The 21,018-nt window shown below is 41.1% G+C and overlaps 1 pseudogene across 1 annotated transcript in view; it reads right to left on the reverse strand.

Annotated features, from left to right (window-relative positions):
* TPTE2P2 (TPTE2 pseudogene 2) overlaps positions 1-19,163 on the reverse strand; it is a 104,605-nt pseudogene extending 85,442 nt beyond the window's left edge. The window contains exons 1-6 of the transcript XR_007063808.1: positions 19,108-19,163; positions 16,378-16,434; positions 12,174-12,227; positions 8,478-8,531; positions 5,024-5,077; positions 4,074-4,127 (exon numbers count right to left, since the gene is read on the reverse strand). The product of XR_007063808.1 is annotated as a TPTE2 pseudogene 2 (transcript). The remainder of the gene's footprint in view (positions 1-4,073; positions 4,128-5,023; positions 5,078-8,477; positions 8,532-12,173; positions 12,228-16,377; positions 16,435-19,107) is intronic.
* Between the last annotated feature and the right edge of the window lie 1,855 nt (positions 19,164-21,018).

Genomic DNA, 21,018 nt, shown 5'->3' on the forward strand with positions numbered 1-21,018 from the left:
ATCATTTGTATGTTCACTGGAGTAGCAGTCTTAATTTTCTTTGAGAATATATACACGTATTTTGCATTCGCAACTTGTCTGACTGGTGCAAGAAGTCTAGCCTTCCTCACAATCATTTTTAGCTTTTAGTTTAAAGTGAGAGGCTTCTGACTCTTCCTTTCACTAGGACACTTAGAAACCCTCATAGACTTATTAAATGGCCTACTTTCAATATTGTTGTGTCTTAGGAAGTAGGGAGGCCCAAGAAGAGGGAGAGAGATGGGGAATGGCTACTCAGTGGAGCAGTCAAAAAACACATGGCATTGATTAAGGTAGTTGTCCTATAGGACATGGTTCATGTTCATGTTGCCCCCAAACAATTACAATAGTAACGTCAACGATCACTGATCACAGATCATAAGAGATAGGATAACAACAAAAAAGTTTAAAATAGGCTGGGCGTGGTGGCTCACGCCTGTAATCCCACCACTGTGGGAGGCCAAGGCAGGCGGATCACGAGGTCAGGAGTTTGAGACCAGCCTGACGAACATGGTGAAACCCCGTCTCTACTAAGAATATAAAAATTAGCCGGGCGTGGTGGCAGGTGCCTGTAATCCCAGCTACTCAGGAGGCTGTGGCAGAGAATCGCTTGAACCCGGGAGGCTGAGGTTGCAGTGAGCTGAGATCGTGCCACTGCATTCCAGCCTGGGTGTCAGAGCGAGAGTCTGTCTCAAAAAAAGAGTTTAAGATATTGCAAGAGTTACTAAAATGTGACACAGAGACACAAAGTGAGCACGTGTTGTTGGAAAAATGAAACCAAGAGACTTGCTCAATGCAAGGTTGCTACAAACCTTCAGTTTATAAAAAAGTAATATCTGAGGGGCAATAAAGTAAAGCACAATAACATAAGGTATACATGTATACACACACACGTGTACATATCTACTGTATATGTATACATATATGCTAAACAATATATCTACATATACGTATCTATATATATACATGCATGTCTATATGCTAAAGTATATATACATAAAAGACTACTGATGTTATTAATTGGGGTCAGTGCTATAGAATATATCTATATAGATACATATATGTACATAAAGATATGTATATATCTATATATGCACATATAGATATATGTATATAGATATGTTCATACATATACACACATACATGTATGTAGGTATCTATATATACTAAATATATATATAAAGGATATACCTATATATATATATATATACACACATACATATATTCACGTGTGTGTGTATGTGTGTGTGTGTGTATAGATATATTCTTTAGCAATGACCCAGATTAATAACATCAGTTGTCTTCAATGACACCACCATTGAAAGGTGAGTTACAGCAGATATATCAAAGTAGTGAAAGACTACTGATGTCATTTTATCTGGGCCAGTGCTAAGGATTAAAAAGGTACATGCCAGATCAAGCGACTTCAGAGACTTGCTTTTCTGGTTGAAGTTATGTACAATTGTTCTACTGCATTTATAAACTGGTTGAACTCTGAAAACGTATATGTCAATTAATTACTTGGAATCTAGTATTAATATATCATTTTTTTTCCCTAAAAGAAAGCCTTACATAATGTAAAAAAGCTTTTGGGCCTTAACAAACAGCCTAGTGAATCAAAATTTAAGTACAATTCTTTATTACTTCATTTGTGAGTGAATCTTACCAATCTCATTATCTCCCTCTTTTCTTTCTCCCCATATATTGATGACTCTACCACAGACTACTCTTTTTAGTTCAATGGGGTAATAGCTAAATGATTAAAAATGAATATAGGAAGACTCCACATGTCTTCCTAGACTATTTTTCTGACACAAATGAGTAATAATTACTCTACAATTTATAATCTAGTTACCCTAAAAATTGACATCTTAATCAATTATTTATTTGAAACCTGGTATTTAACTTTTCTCTAGAAACGAGGTTTCAGATGTTTGCAATGAAATTCTTAGGCCTGTGGAAAAAAACTTAATGAGTGAAGTTTATATACATTTCTTTACTCCTAACCCTAATCCCCAAGTTACCATTTCTGGCAAAATTTACATAAGTTCAACTTCAGTTTGTAAACACCCACCTTGCTTGCACTTGTAAGTTTCTGCCTTCTCAAGTTCAAATACCAATAACTCTTCACCAATCATGGATGTCTTTTCTGCCCCTCAGATACGGTTAAGTAACTGCAGACCTAAGGCAGGGGCTCCATCCAATCTGATGGTGGGTTTGCCTTTGGGACAGTAACCTCATGTGGTAATAGAGGAAGAGATCAGGGTTCTACTAGCTTTGTTCTTTTCTGTTAAGAGCTCCTCAGCTCCCTGCCCACTGCTACCTCCTCCATGCTAAAAATAGGACTGTCTCCTCTCTTGGCTCACTCATATTTTCCTAAGGTTTTTGGCTACTGCTAAATAAGAGTGACCAATGCAATAGGAATAAGAAGCATTGCTCTTATGACCTGTTCCTTTTTTATCCAACTAGATCCAAAAAGGATAGAAAGGTAACTGCAGATACTAAAGTAATTAGACTTTAGAAAACAGTGTCTAAGACACTCTGTATTCTTATGGGTGCTCCAGACAATGAACTTGCCAAATCTGAATCTCTCTTCTGTACATGTATGCTTTTGTGTGTGTGTGTCTATGTGTATATTTACATATATATATGTTTACATCTAGCTTTTAATTTATTTAGACCTCACTTTTTGTTGAAGGATGCTGCATGAGTTATTGTCATTTCACTGAAGGCAGTGCTCATGGAGTAAAAAGGTACAGAGCCATATAAACACCACATGATTTTCTCTTTTTTTGACACTAGTAGCAAAAACAATTTTTGCACCAAAAGTAGTTTTTCCATAAAAATAAAATATCAACTATACACATATGTAATGGGTGAGGGTATGCAAATCCTACCACGTAAGTCCAGTAAGTAAATTCCAACAATTAACAAAGACTCATTTTTCAATGGCCAATTAATTAAACAATTAAATGACTATATAAAAATTAAACCTATCTACATATTAGAAATATATTTTAATTCACCCATGCCTCCACTGTACTATAAAATGAATAGAGAAAATTTTTATTTACTGGCTTAAGAAATCAATACTACATATTCAACTGATGTACTACTGCTTAATGAGCAATTACAGAATTCACAATCTTGATGTTTCCTTGCAAAAGAAGTGGTAATACATAGCACAAAGAACCTCTTTAAAAATTAGTCACTGATCAAACACAATCTTTTTATAGCTTCTGTAACATCTAATTAATTTTGTAAATTTTCTTGAGCATTACACTATAATTAACTTGCATCAGGTTTTCCCTGTAACTTACATTTTTTATGATTTATTTCCAGTAGAAGTCTGAACATGCCTGTGAAAACCATCCGTCATGTCCTTCCTTTCACCCATCATGCTAGTCTTTCCTGTCCATGAGACACAGGCAAGTAGCTGTGGGCCTAAAGAAGGGCTGCATCCAATGAGCTGGTGGGTTTGGGGTTGGGTCTGGGCACCAACCTCACATGTTGACAGAGGTCTGGACGGTGAGGGACAAGTCCATGTTCCATTAGCTCCATTCCTTTCTGCCCAGGGCTCCACTGCTCCTTGTCTGCTGCTATCTCCTCCATGTTGCAAATAGGATTCTCGCCTCCCCTGGGCCACTCTGGTAGGCTCTCGAACTCAGGAACTCTGAGTCCCTTAAAAAACTGCTTACTAAGAACTAAAGGTGATGAATACACTAACAGGAAGAAGCAACCTTCTATGACTTGCCCCTCTTTATATAACTCCATCAAAAAAGGATGCAAAGTTACCTACAAATGCTACAACGAGAAGAACTGGAAACCCTGTTAAAAAACACTGTATGGCCATGCAGGGTCCTGAGAGAAAATTCCACAAATGTCCATCTGTCTCCTTGTTTTAAGATTCAATTGTGTGCATGGGTTTGTTTGTGTACGTGTGTTGAGAGAAGTGTGTATAGATGGATGGATAGATTTGTTTACATGCCTGTGCATGTGTATATACTTCTATGCACACTTACGCATACATGTGTCTTTATTTATTTATAACTCACTTTTCGTAGATACGTGCCTCCTTGGTTCCTCCTGTCAGTTCACTTGTGTGGGGACTAGAGGATGATAAAAGAATACAGTCAGACAGGTGACATAATTCGAAATTTACTTTTCGGGAAAAACTAGCTTTCATTACTCTAAACATAAACTGGTTAATTTCTGACTATTCATGTGTACAGCACTATGTGGACCTGAAATATCATTTTTTATCAGAAATCAGGATTTATATGATGGCTACCACCATCTTAGGATGGAGAAAATAGTAATGCTTCCAGATTTAAGTAAACCTTTTCATTACAACCTCATCCCAATGTGTGACAGCCTTTGTGGTGGCAGTTATTTCAAACTCAACTCCAATTTTTAGGTAGTCAGCCCTCTTAATCCATTGAATGTCCTGCTTCAAAAATCCTCCATTACCTTGTTACTTTCACCCAGCATGGGCGTCTCCCCCAGCCCCAAAAAATGCATCAAGTAACTAAAGGTTTTTCACAGGCGCACAACCTGATATGGTGGTGATATAAGGTCCGGAGCACCAGCCTCCATGGTGGCAGAGTTCTGGAGGCTGGAGAACACCTCCAAGTCTCTTAGCTCTGTTCCTTTCTGCTGAGGACTTCACAGTTACCCGAGTACTCCTACCTCTTCCTTGCTCCAAATAGGATTTTCTCTTCCCTCGGCCCACTCTAGTATGTCTCATACACAGAAAATGAGTTTTCAAGGCATTTGGCTGCTACTAACAAATGGTGAAAAGACAGTAACAGCCGGATACTCTGTTCCTCTTTTATCCAAAACAATTGTAAAAATGTGGATGTTTAACTATAGGTGCTACAGTGAGAAGATGAACTGTGTCCAAGACACTCTGTATTGCCATGGACACTCCTGAGAGCAAATCCCACTAATCTGAATATCTTTCTCTGTCACTGTTTTGTTTGTGTGTACATCCTTTATAACTCACATGTCATGGGTGTCTCTATCAATGATGACTTCCACCAGGTCAACAGGATGGGGACTGTGGGAAAAACATGATCAGAGTCAGACAGGACACATTATTCTAATGTTTTGAATCAAAGAGCTACACTAACTCTATGAGTGATTCCTTGCATACACTTATTGAACTGGGATGAAATTTTTTCTTATTAGAAATGAGGTTTTATGTGCCAACAGTGAATATCTTGGGCTGTGAACATAGCGATGCATCCAGATTAAGTAACTGCATCTTCACCTCAATGTGTAACAACCTTTTTCGAGGGCAGTTAATTCCAGTTCAACTTTAGTTTTAAGTCCCCTTCTTATAATTTCATCTGAGTACCTCATTCTCTATCACCTCCTCAGTTTTCACCCATCCTAGTTGTTATCGGGGGAACCTGCCCCCAGTATGTCAACATAGATTCTTTTCTATTTTCCCTAAGTGTCAGCCAGTCTGAGAAATAAAGAGAAAGAGTACAAAGAGAGAAATTTTACAGCTGGGGCTCCAGGGCTGACATCACATGTTGGCAGGTTCAGTGATGCCTCCTGAGCCGCAAAACCAGCAAGTTTTTATTAGGGATTTCAAAAGGGGAGGGGGGTATGAACAGGGAGTAAGTTACAAGATCACATGCTTGAAAGGCCAATAAAAGATCACAAGGGAAGACAGGCAGAGCAAGATCACAAGGCCAGGGCGAAATTAGAATTATTGATGAGGTTCCATGTCCCACTGGGCACCCATTGTCACTGATAAACATCTTAACAGGAAACAGAGTTCCAGAGCAGACAACAGGTCCGACTAGAATTCGCCAGGCTGGAATTTCCTAATCCTAGCAAGCCTGAGGGCACTGCAGGAGACCAGGGCGTATTTCATCCCTTATCTTCAACTGCGTAAGACAGACACTCCCAGAGCGGCCATTTATAGACCTCTCCCTGGGAATGCATTCCTTTCCCAGGGTTATTCCTTGCTGGGAAAAGAATTCAGTGATACTTCTCCTACTTGCTTTCTCCAAGAAGAGAAATAAGACTCTGTTCTGCCCGGCCCCGCAGGCAGTCAGACCTTATAGTTATCTCCTTTGTTCCCTGAAAATCGCTGTTAGCCTGTTCTTTTCTAGGATGCCAAGATTTCATATTGTTCAAACACACATGTTTTACAAACAATTTGCAAAGATAATGCAATCATCACAGGACCCTGGGGCGACCTACCTTCTCAGCTTACGAAGATGACGGGATTAAGAGATTAAAGTAAATACAGGCATAGGAAATTATAAGAGTATTGACTAGGGAAGTGATAAATGTCCATGAAATCTTCATAATTTATGTTCAGAGACTGCAGTAAAGACAGGCAGAATAAATTATAAAAGTATTAATTTGGGGAACTAATAAATGTCCATGAAATCTTCATAACTTATGTTCTTCTGCCACAGCTTCAACCAGTCCCTCCACTCAGGGTCCCTGATTTCCAGCAACAAGTTGTCTTTCCTGCCCAAGAGTTACGGCCAAGTAGCTGCAGGCCTCAAGCAAGGGCTTCATCCCATGTGATGGTGGGTATGGGCCAAGGGAGTCAGCCTCACATTATGGCAGAGCTCTGGAGGGTGTGAAATATTTCCAGGGTTATTAGCTCTGTTCTCTTTTTTTGCTGGTGTTTCTCTGCTCTTTGTCCACTCCTATCACTTTCTAACTCCAAGGAGGATTTGCTTCTCTCTTGGTCCACACTACTGGAACAGTCTCATTCCCACAGAAAGGAAAGGTGACAATCACTCACATAATAAGCCTCCCTCTATGAGTTCTTCCCCATTTTCCTACCTCCATTCAAAAAGCAAAAGACTATTCCGTACAAAGCTCATCCTGAGAGGGCTCTGGAAATAGTTTCAAGGGAACTCCTTGTTCCCATGGATGCTCCTGACAGTGAATAGCCCAAATCGCAATCTCTCTAGTGTATATGAATGCATGGATGTGTGTGTTTGTATATGCATATATACATATACAATTGTATTCATGTCACATGTTGCAATGGACAGCCTATTAGAAGATACTTTCAGTTCACACACAGCGCAGTGCTAAAGAACTTAAAACGTTTATAGTAAGACAACATGTAACTTCCTACACTTAACATTTTCAGTTCAATGTAGTTTGCATTAATTTTCTTTTTCTTTATTTTTTTTTTTCTTTCGAGACAGAGTCTCACTCTGTCACCCACACTGGAGTCCGGTGGCATGATCTCGACTAACTACAAACTCTGCCTCCCAGGTTCAAGTAATTCTCCTGCCTCAGCCTCCCGAGTAGCAGGGACTACAGGCGCATGCCCCACGCCTGGCTAATTTTTGTATTGTTAGTAAAGACAGGGTTTCACCATGTTGATCAGGCTAGTCTTGAACTCCTGACCTCGTGATCCACCCGACTTGACCGCCCAAAGCACTGGGACCACAGGTATCAGCCAACGCGCCTGGCCTTCCAATTACTTTTCAGCCTGTAAACTGCTCTACCCTACAGAATTCACGTGTGTATTTGGTTCTTTGGAATCAGCCATGCCATTTACCCTACACATCATACTTTCTATGATTACAGCACACATTTTACACCTATCCAAGACTCACTGACTCAAGAGTTAACCAAAACTCTCTACCACCGGAGCTGACCAATGCATGACAGCCTCTTGTGGGTGAATTTCTTTTAAATTCAACTCCACTGTGTAAGCAGTCATCCCTCTAATCCCATCTATGGCCCCCTTCCTGGATCTCTCCATCACGTCTTTCCTTTCACCCATCATGCTAGTCTTTCCCGTCCATGAGACACAGGCAACTAGCTGCGAACCTAAGGAAGAGCAGCATCCAATGAGGTGCGTGCCAGTGTTTGTTTTTTAGCACCAACCTCATATGTTGACAGAGCTCAGGAGTGTGAGGGACAAGTCCATGTTCCATTAGCTCCATTCTTTGCCCAGGGCTTCACACTCCTTGTCGGCTGCTATCTCCTCCATGCTGCAAATAGGATTCTCTCCTCCCTTGTGTCAATCTGGTAGGCTCTCAAACTCAGGAAAACTGAGTCCTTTAAGAAGCTGCTTAGTAGGAACTAAGGGTGACAAATACACCAACAAGAAGTCGCAGCTCTCCTATGACTGGCTCCTTTTTATACAACTACATTAGAAAAGGATGCAGTGTTACCTACAAAGGCTACCATGAGAAGAATTGCAAACCCTGTTAAAAACCACTCTCTGTGGCCATGCAGGCTTCTAGAAGAAACTCCACATATGTCCATCCGACTCCTTATTTTATGTTTCCATTGTGTGCATGGGTTTGTTAGTGGACGTGTCTTGAGAGAAGTGGGGATGGATGGATGGATGCATGGATGGATTGATGGATATATTTGTTTCTGTGCCTGTGTGTGTGTGACTACTTCTATGCACAGTTATGCATACGTGTGTCTTTATTTGTCTAAATATAACTCACCTTTCATTGATACGTGCCTCTGGGTTTGCTGTTGTCAATTCATTCGTGGGTAGACTAGAGGATGATAAAAGAATACAGTCAGACAGGAGACACAATTTGAAATTGACTTTTCTGGAGAAAATAGCTTTCATTACTCTGCACATAAACCAGTGAAGTTCTGACTATGCATGTGTATAGCACTATTTGGTTCTGAAATGTCATTTTTTTTTCATTAGAAAGGAGGATTTGTATGATGGCAACCAGCATCTTAGGCTGGGGAAAACAGTAATGCTTCCAGATTTAAATAAACTTCTTTATTATGACCTCAGTCCCAATGCGTGTCAGTCTTTGTGGTGGCAGTTATTTCAAACTCAACTTTTGTTTGGAGGTAGTCAGCCCTCTTATTTCATTGAATGTCCTGTTTCAAAGGCCCTCCATTACCTCCATACTTTCAACCAGCATGGCTGTCTCCCCAGCCCCACAAACAGAGTCAAGTCACTAGAGGTCTGACATAGGGGCACAATCCAATACGATGGTGACAGGAGGTTTGCAGCACCAGCCTCCATGGTGCCAGAGCTCTGGAGGCTGGAGAACACCTCCTAGGCTCTTAGCTTTGTTCCTTTCTGCTGAGGGCTTCACAGTTCCCTGAGTACTCATACCTTCTCCTTGCTCCAAATAGGAGTCTCTATTCCTGCAGCCCACTCCAGTATGCCTCATACACAGAAAATCTGAGTTTCCAAGGCATTTCACTGTTACTAACCAAGGGTGAGAAGACAGTAACAGATGGAAGCCTCTCTCTATGTCTGTTTCTCTTTCTAAACAACTGTAAAAATATGGAAGTTACCTATACGTGATACAGTGAGACGATAAAGAAATGGTGTCAAAGATATGCTGTAATACCGTCAACACTCCTGAGAGTGAATCCCAGTAATCTCAGCCTCCTTCTCTGTCACTGATTTGTGTGTGTGTTTGTGTGTACATCTTTTTCTTGTTTTTGAGACAGAGTTTCGCTCCTGCTGCCCAGGCTGGAATGCAGTGGCACGGTCTCGGCTCACTGCAACGTCCACCTCCCAGGTACAAGCAATTCTCCTGCCTCAGCCTCCTGAGTAGCTGGGATTAGAGGCACCCGCCACCATGCTGGGCTAACTATTGTATTTTTAGTAGAGACAGGGTTTCACCATGTTTGCCAGCCTGGTCTCAAACTCCTGACCTCAGGGTATCTGCCCGCCTTGGTCTCCCAAAGTGCTCAGATTCCAGGTGTGAACCACTGCTCCTGGCCATGTGTACATCTTTTATAACGTACCTGTCATCGGTGGATTGATCAATAATGACTGCCGCCATTTCATTCGGATAGGGATTAAAGGACAAATATGGTCAGAGTCAGACACAATGCGTCATTCTAATGTTTTGCAACAAATAGCTACAGTTAGTCTGTGAGTTACTCCCCGGTTACACTTTGATTATTCACATGCATGTATATCACTAAATGGACCTGAGATGGCATTTCTTTTTTTTATTAGAAATGAGGATTTATATGCCAACAGTGAGTATCTTAGGCTGTGAACATATGGATCCATCCAGACGAAGTAACTGTATCTACACCTCAATTTATAACAGCATTTTTGGAGGGCATTTAATTCCAGTTCAACTTTAGTTTGTAGGTCCCCCTTCTTAAAATCCCATCTGATTTCCTCCTTCTCTATCACCTCCAATCACCTCCTCAATTTGCACCCATCCTAGTAGTCTTTCCTCCGAAGAGTTACGGCCAAGTAGCTGAAGGCCTCAAGCAAGGGCTTCATCCCATGTGATGGTGGGTATGGGCCAAGGGAGTCAGCCTCACATTATGGCAGAGCTCTGCAGGGTGGGAAAAACTTCGAGGGTTATTAGCTCTGTTCTTTTTTTTTGCAGGGGTTTCTCTGCTCTTTGTCCCCTCCTATCTCCTTCTCGCTCCAAGCAGGATTCACTTCTCCGTTGGTCCACACTACAAGTACACTCATTCCCACAGAAAGGAAAGGTGACAAACACTCACATAATAAGCCTCCCCCTATGAGTCCTTCCCCATGTTCCCACCTCCATCCAAAAAGCATAAGAATATTCCTTAAAAAGCTCATCCTGAGAAGACTCTGGAAATAGTTTCAAGGCAACTCCTTGTAGGCATGGATGCTCCTGACAGTGAATAGCCCAAATCTCTTTCTCTCGTGTGTGTATGAATGCATGGATGTGTGTGTTTGTATATGCATATATACATGTATAATTGTATTCCTTTATATCACATGTTGCAATGGACAGCCTACTGGAAGACACTCTCAGTTCACTCACAGCGCAGTGCCCAAGAACTTAAAACGTACACAGTAAGACAACATGTAACTTCCTAGACTTAACGTTTACAGTTCAAACTAGTTCCAATTACTTTTCTTTTGCTTGGTGTTTTTTTTTTTTTTTTTTTTTTAGAGAGAGTCTCGCTCTGTCGCCCAGGCTGGAGTACAGTGGTGTGATCTCAGCTCATTGCAACCTCGGCCTCCCGGGTTCAAGTAATTCTCCAGCCTCATCCCCCCGAGTAGCAGGGACTACAGGCACGCAACACCATGCCTGGTTAATTTTTGTATTTTTAGCAGAGATGGCAGTTTCACCATGTTGGCCAGGCTGGTCTTGAACTCCTGATCTCATGATCCACCTGACTTGCCCTCCCAAAGCACTGGGACCACAGGCGTCAGCCAATGTGACCAGCCTTCCAATTACTTTTCAACCTGTAAACTGCTGGATCCTACGGAATTCACATGTGTATTTGGTTCTTTGGAATCTGCCATGCCATTTACCCTACACATCATACTTTCTACGATTGCAGCACACATTTTACACCTATCCAAGACTCACTGACTCAAGAGTTAACCAAACTCTGTACCACCGGAGCTGACCAATGCATGACAGCCTTTTGTGGGTGAATTTCTTTTAAATTCAACTTCACTGTGTAGGCAGTCATCCTTTTAATCCCATCTATGGCCCCCCTCCTGGATCTCTCCATCATGTCTTTCCTTTCACCCATCATGTTAGTCTTTCCCATCCATGAGACACAGGCAACTAGCTGCGGGCCTGAGGAAGAGCAGCATCCAATGAGGTGGTGTACTTGTGTTTGTGTTTTAGCACCAACCTCACATGTTGACAGAGCTCAGGAGTGTGAGGGACAAGTCCATGTTCCATTAGCTCCATTCTTTGCCCAGGGATTCTCTGCTCCTTGTCGGCTGCCATCTCCTTCATGTTGCAAATAGGATTCTCTCCTCCCTTGTGTCAACCTGGTAGGCTCTCAAACTCAGGAAAACTGAGTCCTTTAAGAAGCTGCTTAGTAGGAACTAAGGGTGACAAATACACCAACAAGAAGTCGCAGCTCTCCTATGACTGGCTCCTTTTTATACAACTACATTAGAAAAGGATGCAGTGTTACCTACAAAGGCTACCATGAGAAGAACTGCAAACCCTGTTAAAAACCACTCTCTGTGGCCATGCAGGCTTCTAGAAGAAACTCCACATATGTCCATCCGTCCTACTGTATGTTTCCATTGTGTGCATGGGTTTGTTAGTGGATGTGTCTTGAGAGAAGTGGGGATGGATGGATGCATGGGTGAATGGATGGACATATTTGTTTCTGTGCCTGTGTGTGTGTGACTACTTCTATGCACAGTTATGCATACGTGTGTCTTTATTTGTCTAAATATAACTCACCTTTCATTGATACGTGCCTCTGGGTTTGCTGTTGTCAATTCATTTGTGGGTGGACTAGAGGATGATAAAAGAATACAGTCAGACAGGAGACACAATTTGAAATTGACTTTTCTGGAGAAACTAGCTTCCATTACTCTGCACATAAACCAGTGAAGTTCTGACTATGCATGTGTATAGCACTATTTGGTTCTGAAATGTCATTTTTTTTTTCATTAGAAAGGGGGATTTATATGATGGCAACCAACATCTTAGGCTGGGGAAAATAGTAATGCTTCCAGCTTTAAAAAAACTTCGTTATGACCTCTGTCCCAATGCGTGTCAGTCTTTGTGGTGGCAGTTATTTCAAACTCAATTTTGTCTGGAGGTAGTCAGCCCTCTTATTTCATTGAATGTCCTGTTTCAAAGGCCCTCCATTACCCCCTTACTTTCAACCAGCATGGGTGTCTCCCCAGTCCCACAAACAGAGTCAAGTCACTAGAAGTCTGACACAGGGGCACAATCCAATACGACAGTGATAGCAGGTTTGGAGCACCAGCCTCCATGGTGCCAGAGTTCTGGAGGCTGGAGAACACCTCCTAGGCTCTTAGCTTTGTTCCTTTCTGCTGAGGGCTTCACGGTTCCCCGAGTATGCGTACCTTCTCCTTGCTCCAAATAGGAGTCTCTATTCCCGTGGCCCACTCCAGTATGTCTCAGACACAGAAAATCTGAGTTTCCAAGGCATTTCACTGTTACTAACCAAGGGTGAGAAGACAGTAACAGACGGAAGCCTCTCTCTATAGTGTGTTTCTCTTTCTTTCTAAACAACTGTAAAAATATGAAAGTTACCTATACGTGATACAGTGAGACGATAAAGAAATGGTGTCAAAGATACGCTGTAATACCGTCAACACTCCTGAGAGTGAATCCCAGTAATCTCAGCCTCCTGCTCTGTCACTGATTTGTGTGTGTGTTTGTGTGTACATCTTTTTCTCGTTTTCGAAAGAAGAGTTTCGCTCCTGCTGCCCAGGCTGGAATGCAGTGGCACAGTCTCGGCTCACTGCAACATCCACCTCCCAGGTACAGGCAATTCTCCTGCCTCAGCCTCCCGAGTAGCTGGGATTAGAGGCACCTGCCAACACACCTGGCTAATTGTTGTATTTTTACTAAAGACAGGGTTTCACCGTGTTTGCCAGCCTGGTCTCGAACTCCTGACCTCAGGGTATCTGCCCGCCTTGGTCTCCCCAAGTGCTCAGATTCCAGGTGTGAACCACTGCTCCTGGCCATGTGTCCATCTTTTATAATGCACCTGTCATCGGTGGGTCGATCAATAATGACTCCCACCAGGTCATTCGGATAGGGATTAAAGGACAAATATGGTCAGAGTCAGACACAATGCGTCATTCTAATGTTTTGCAACAAATAGCTACAGTTAGTCTATGAGTTATTCCCCAGTTGCACTTTGATTATTCACACGTATTATATCACTAAAAGGACCTGAGATGGCATTTTTTTTTATTAGAAATGAGGTTTTATGTGCCAACAGTGAGTATCTTAGGCTGTGAACATATCGATCCATCCAGACTAAGTAACTGTATCTACACCTCAATGTATAACAGCATTTTTGGAGGGCATTTAATTCCAGTTCAACTTTAGTTTGTAGGTCCCCTTCTTAAAATCCCATCCGAGTTCCTCCTTCTCTATCACCTCCAATCACCTCCTCAATTTGCACCCATCCTACTAGTCTTTCCTGCCCAAGAGTTATAGCCAAGTAGCTGCAGGCCTCAAGCAAGGGCTTCATCCCATGTGATGGGGGGTATGGGCCAAGGGAGTCAGCCTCACATTATGGCAGAGCTCTGGAGGGTGTGAAATGCTTCCAGGGTTGTTAGCTCCGTTCTTTTGTTTGCTGGGGTTTCCCTGCTCTTTGTCCCCTCCTATCTCCTTCTCACTCCAAGCAGGATTCACTTCTCCCTTGGTCCATACTACGAGTACACTCTCATTCCCACAGAAAGGAAAGGTGACAATCACTCACATAATAAGCCTCCCTCTGAGTTCTTCCCCATTTTCCTGCCTCCATCCAAAAAAGCAAAAGTATATTCCGTACAAAGCTCACCCTGAGAAGACTCTAGAAATAGTTTCAAGGAAACTCCTTGTTCCCATGGATGCTCCTGACAGTGAATAGTCCAAATCTCTTTCTCTCGTGTGTGTATGAATGCATGGATGTGTGTGTTTGTATATTCATATGTACACGTACAATTGTATTCCTTTATATCACATGTTGCAATGGACAGCCTACTGGAAGACACTCTCAGTTCACACACAGAGCAGTGCCAAAGAACTTAAAACGTACATAGTAAGACAACATGTAACTTCCTAGACTTAATGTTTTCCGTTTAAACTAGTTCCAATTACTTTTCTTTTGCTTGCTTTGTTTTTGTGTTGTTTTTTTTTTTGAGACAGAGTCTCGCTCTGGGGCCCAGGCTGGAGTGCAGTGGCGCGATCTCGGCTCACTGCAACCTCGGCCTCCCAAGTTCAAGGCAAGTTCTCCTGCCTCAGCCTCACAAATAGCAGGGACTACAGGCACGCACCACCACGCTTGGCTAATTTTTGTATTTTTCATAGAGATGGGGTTCCGCCATGTTGGCCAGGCTGGTCTTGAATTACTAACCTCATGATACACCCGCCCTGGCCTCCCAAAGTGCTGGGACTACAGGCGTCAGCCACCATGCCCAGCCAGGAAAGTCTTTTGACATACACACCAGCATTTCCTTTTGTAGCATCCTTGGGCCATATTAAAGGCATTGTTAAGCTGGCATTGCATGAAGTGTATAGAAAATAACAGTAATTTGGGGAGACAATAGTAACAACAGCAGCACTTCTTTTATTTAAATGTAGAAAATTAATTAAAATACAAAAAAATATTTTTGTGAATATATTTATAATCTTAGGATAGGAAAGAAGTTTCTGAGTATAACAGAAACAGCATTAGTCATAAAAGTAGCAATTATATCTGAACACATGAAGCTTATTATAAAGTTCTATGTAAGGGTGCTGTATTTTACTCTAAACACCAAATGTAAAAACATATTACAGATTTGCCACATGGAGTGGAGATACGACCAATGTATTTGAACATCAAAATTCCTTGAATCTGAAGGATATGGTAAATATGACTTAGCTCACTTAAGACCTAACTTTTTAGAAAGAATTTTAGAATCAGTGTCCAGAACACTATTTTCCCATGAATAATTCTGAGACCAATTTTCAGGAACCTGAATTCCTCCCATCTCCAATATATATTATCACATCACCTTTCATTGTTAGCTCCAGCACAGATTTCTGATGTCAATTCATTGGGATCAGTGCAAAGGATTAAAAGCAAACAGGAAGAAACAACATAAATTCATACACTCCTTTTTTTTTTTTTTTTTTGGTTCAAATTGGCTATGACTGTGCTACAAATTGCAATGTGTTGTCCCTAAAAAATTCTCATGTAAATCTGTTACTTGGCACCTGGTACTTCATTTTTCTCCAGAAAGAAGTCTCTATGTGTTAGTAATATAAATTGTTTAGGACTCTCCAGAAAGTTTAATGAATCAAAATTTAAGTACAATTCTTTATTACTGAACCTGATCATTATGTGTGACAGCAAATTGAACCGAAATTTGCTTCAAATTCATGTTCCATTTGAAGGCACACATCGTTCTTGCCCATTTTGATTTCCTAATTCTCAAGTCCCTCCACCATGTGACTCATGCTCTTCATGAGTCACAGGTATCTTTGCTTCCCCTCAAATAGGATCAAGTGACTAAACCTGAGGCAGGGGCTCCATCCAATGTGATGATGGCTTTGGGTTTGGGCACCAGCTCTGAAGGGTGAGGGACAGATACAGGGTCTCTTAGCTCTTTTCTTTCTGCTAAGGGCTATTCTGCTGCCTGTCCAATGCTACCACCACCTTTTTCCAAGTAGGATTCTCTCCTCTCTTGAATTGCTCTTGATAGAGTCTCATACACAGGCATTCTGATAGTCTCCTAAGGGTTTTGGCTGCCAATTACTAAGAGTCACAAACAATCTTCAAGTACCAAATGTCCCTCTTCTGACCTGACCTTATTTTTTCCACATAGGTTCAAAAACAACGCTACCTAAAGATGCTTAAACTCTCTTATGGAAAGCTGTTTTTGCCATTGATGCTGCCAGCATTTTTCACCACTTAGATCAGTCAACTCACCCATTGTGGTCATAGTTGTCAGAGCATATGGTAGACGCTGGTAATGAATCCAGAATTCTACCAAAGAGTAAAAAGCACATACAAAAAATAAAGTCAGATATTTTGGAAGGCAATCAGGATGTTAATCTCGACAGTATTTCAGGACATGAAAAATAAAATCAGAGGAATTTTGACAGGAACTAAACAAACAATTTCAGGGCAAAACACTAGTACTTCTGAGACTGTGTGTGTGTGTGTGTGAAAAGACACAGAAAAAAGAAAGAAAGTGTAAGAATAATGAATGTTTCTCTATCAATGGCTAGTTCCTGGTCATCCTTGGTAGGAAATAAACAAGTAGGTAAGTCAAGGATAGCCTAAATTATGTTTAAAACTTTTTGTGAACTTAAAGTACATTATATGTTTAGAATGATTTTGTTTTCTTTTTGTCTGGATTCTCGGGTTTTTTTAATTATATGGCTATATTTTACAAAATCAAGACTTCCTAGCACCCAAACCACTGGCTTAGCTAATTTAATCTCTCTACAACTTCATTTCCTCATCTGTAAGTTAAGACACATGCAGAATACACTCCGCATCTGTCAACTTCATAAAACCATGCTGAATATTCAGCATTTTGCAAATATTGGTTTTTAGACCACCTGTTCTCTACACCATATATTATGTCATAAAAATCAGTATGTGGCAATATAAGCTGATACATAGTTTTAGTTTCAAATACACAAACATGCTTATCAAAGTAATACACTCCCAAGACTCAAGAATTAATGCTCTTTGCCACAATTTGCTAACTTTTCAAATGTTTAAATAAGTTTAAGAAACTGATTGCACACTTTTTTTTTTTTTGGCTGCTGCTGATAAAAACTGGGATTCCCTAGAGCATGCTGAGGTTTCTGGACTTATTTGACCACAGAACCTCGTTCTCACAGTGGAAATGTGTGAGAAACACATTTTAGAAGCAATATATTAAATGGTATCTTTTTATGTCTTTAAGTAAAAGTTCTCCTACACAAACTAATTTTGGACTGTGGTCGATAGCTCAAACCTTTAAGCGCAGATAGACATTAATACTGTGCTATTCTTTCAGCCTGTGAGGAAAGGAGTGCTGGAGTTCAAATTATCAAATCTCGTTAGCCCAGTCTGAGGGCCATGAAGGGAACCTCTCAAGTTCTAAGTGGGTGTTCTCATGCCCTTGAATGGCTCATGGAAATTCATCCAGGTCTCAGGAAAAACAATACCTTTTACAAAAAGAAAGGCATCTAGAGGTATCTGCTGCTTTTCTGCAGGAAGGACAACTGGGTTGTCTATGCAGAATACACTAATAAGTCATAACAGGGGAAAATGTTCAAAACGCCAAAAACATAAGAATTTGAGTTTCTGACATAAGCAGCCTTATTGAATGATTACTGGATTTTTCAGATATCTTCTACCAAGGAAGAGAACGGGAAGACACTCAAATTACTCTTCAGATCCAGGTGACAAGCCAGGACTGCTAAGCGAGTTCCTTGGGAAACTAATCTCCAAAAAGGACACAAGACATCCATACATGTTACCTGAACTCCTTTCAGGGAGAGTATTGCATGAAGTCTGAAATCATACTTTGATAAGCTGCTTGGGAGCACAGACTGACTTCCCTCATGGGACATGAATAAGTAGCTAGCTAAATTGCCTTCTAAGGAAGGTGAGAATGACAAACTATCCTAAAATAACGTGATCACGCAGAATTCTTAAATGCTTTTTGGTAGACAGGAGAAACCACAGAAGTTTGAGTTAGGTGAAGGTTAGCTACACCTTTATAATCAGGCTACCAGGTTATAATGAAAAGCAGCTCTCCAATCAAATCTGCCACACATACAGATATTCATTTAACAAAACATTCAGTAGCAAGCAGGCACCGTACATAAGCTTCTGTAAGCTTTCTGTACTTTAGGTGCTCCAAGCATGAAAGGTTCATTCTCAACAGAATCCTAATATTCCAGAGGCCAAAATCTTCCTAAACCTTCCTGGAGATAGGACCATATGAGGATCAAGCCTGGGGTGTCATCTCTAAGTATACACTACAGGCCACATTCATAAACTTTTATCCTGTTTATGCAAGGGTGGGCTGTCTCCAAAACACTTTAGCTGATTCACAGATCTTAAAATGTCATATAATTGTAACATCCATCATGCTGCTTTGTAAGTCACCAATATCACTAATAAAAGCCCATTTGTGACCTTCACTGTAATAATTAACAATGTTTCAGGTGTTGAGATGGGACCACTGAAGACCTTTCGGTGGCCATCTCTGTGGAGTGGCTTCCAGAGCTGAGCACTAGGTCACCATCCTGAACAGAGCATCCACCATTAGGGCAAGCAGCCACCCCTATAGGAAAGATGAAAGCAACCAGTAGATGCATGTTATCACACTGCCTAAAAATGTCCTATTTTTAAGGACATTAACAGGCATAGAATGGGGCTTGTTTTATTTTTACAATTTTTTTTCTATTTCTATTATTTTTCTATCTCATTACTTTTCTATTTCTATTTGCTGGGTCACAGACAGCAGCAAATTCCATACCTTTGGGGTTATACCAGCTCATGTGCAATAGAAATAGAAATATCAAAGCTCTCAGTCTACCACCTTCTGCTCCAGAGATGTGGCCCAAGCACACCTTTGGACGTGAACCAGGGCAACCCAAGGCAGAGCTGGATACCTGGGAGTTTCTCCCTGTAAGCCCTGGACCTGCTTACCTGAAAGCCAGACTGCTTCTGGCGCCACTGCCGCTCAGAAGAAGTTGGGGTCGGTTCAGCCGCTAAAATGACACAAGTCTCAGGTCTCGTGTCTTCAGTACAACCTTCTCTAAGAGGGAGAAATTTATTCAAGATCCTGTTAGCACTTTTCTCTCCTGCTGCCTTTCAGGATTATAGCTTTTCCTTTTTTCATTTTTTAATTCCCAAAACTCAAGCTTGTTAGATCAAATCTTTACCCCATTCCTGGCAAATAACAAGGTTATTACTATTTGGCCCTACACCCACTAGTTGTCCCCCAGTACCCTGAGGATAAAGGGACTCCGTAAGGTCCCTGGGAGGGGAAAGGAATATCAATTAGTGGTCCCCCCAACTGGCTATAAGCAAACTTTCCTGTCTGTGGGCCCCAGAAACCACCACCTAGTTCCCCCACCAAAACTTTACATGATTTTAATTCTCCTGATGAGGATGAGAGGACAACATTAGCCAACAGAGAGGGCAGAGGATGGGATGGGACTACCTTGCTCAGAGACCCTCACCTCTAGGTCTTTACCTCGTATTGAGAATAAGCCAGTACTGGATTAAGAACTCTGTGTCCATGGCAACCCCAAACAGAATCCTGGTGCTCTGAGATTCTCCTAGAGTAGGGAATAAAACGAGCTTGGTCCAAGACTGCAGAGACTTAAAAACACGCTGTTCTGCCACACATACAGATACTCATTAAAGATGAGGGAAAAGGGCATGGGGTCGGGGAGAATGTACTAAAACCAAAGACCACAGGATAATCACCTTAGAGCAGAGACGATCTCTCCAGTTATTTTTTCTTTTGTATGTAATGGAGGGGATTCTTCTTATTTACGCTGATGAACTTTTTATCAAGTGTTCGGCTTCCTTTGTGGGTTAGAGAGAATAACCAGAGGGCTCAGTGTTTTCTAGACCATATTAAATTTCACTAAAGTAAGCAAGGTTGATAGGACTTGCAGGGGAAACTTCATTGACTCAAGCTATCATTTTCTAGGCTTGTGAGAAAATAAATAGGTGTACATTTAAAATACACTCATATTCTAGCTAGAAGAGAGGATTTTGAGTGTTCTTACAGCAAAGAAATGGTAAATGTTTAAGGCAATGGATATGCTAATTACCATGATTTGATCATTATACCATGTAAAATGTACTGAAACATCACACTGTACCTCATAAATATGTACAATTTGTTATGTATACATTAAAATTTTGATTATAAGAAAAAATAAACTTCAAATGTAAGAAAACAACCCAACTTTTAAAAAATGGGCAAAATATGTGAACAGATACTTCACTAATAAAGATTTGCAACTGACAAGCAAATGAAAAGAGGGCCATCATAACTGGCTATTAGAGAAATGCAGATTCAAACTACAATAAGAAACCACTAGATACCTATTAGAATATCTAAAATTAGAAAGATGGCGTGTTGACAAAGATAGAGAGAAACTGAAACTCTCATACAATGCCAGGAATGTAAAGTGCTAGATCCACTTTGGAAAACAGTTTGGCAGTTTCTTAAGAAGTTAATTAGGTCTTCCAGTTCCCACTCCAACATGCAGAGAACTTGGAAGTCATCACTCCCATCTTCACAACAGGAAAAAAGATAATCAAACTGAAAATCAACAACTTTTCTTAGATCTGTCAGAGAATAGAGGTCACAGGGCAAACCACTTCCTCAAAAACTAGAGAGACACGTGACTACAGAACATCACAGTTTACCTGAGAGCAGAAGCCACAGGAGCCAGTAATTGGTAGGAACACTTAAATGCTAGTCAATAAATTACTGGTGGCTAAGTGTGGACTAGCTTGAGAGTTAAAAACTTGTTGAAGTCCCGCCTTGGGAACCCCTTATACTTTCATGAATGTTACTTCCAGAAACCCTAGCTG

The sequence above is a fragment of the Homo sapiens genome, chromosome 13, assembly GCF_000001405.40.
Source record: "Homo sapiens chromosome 13, GRCh38.p14 Primary Assembly".
NCBI classification, from domain to species: domain Eukaryota; kingdom Metazoa; phylum Chordata; class Mammalia; order Primates; family Hominidae; genus Homo; species Homo sapiens.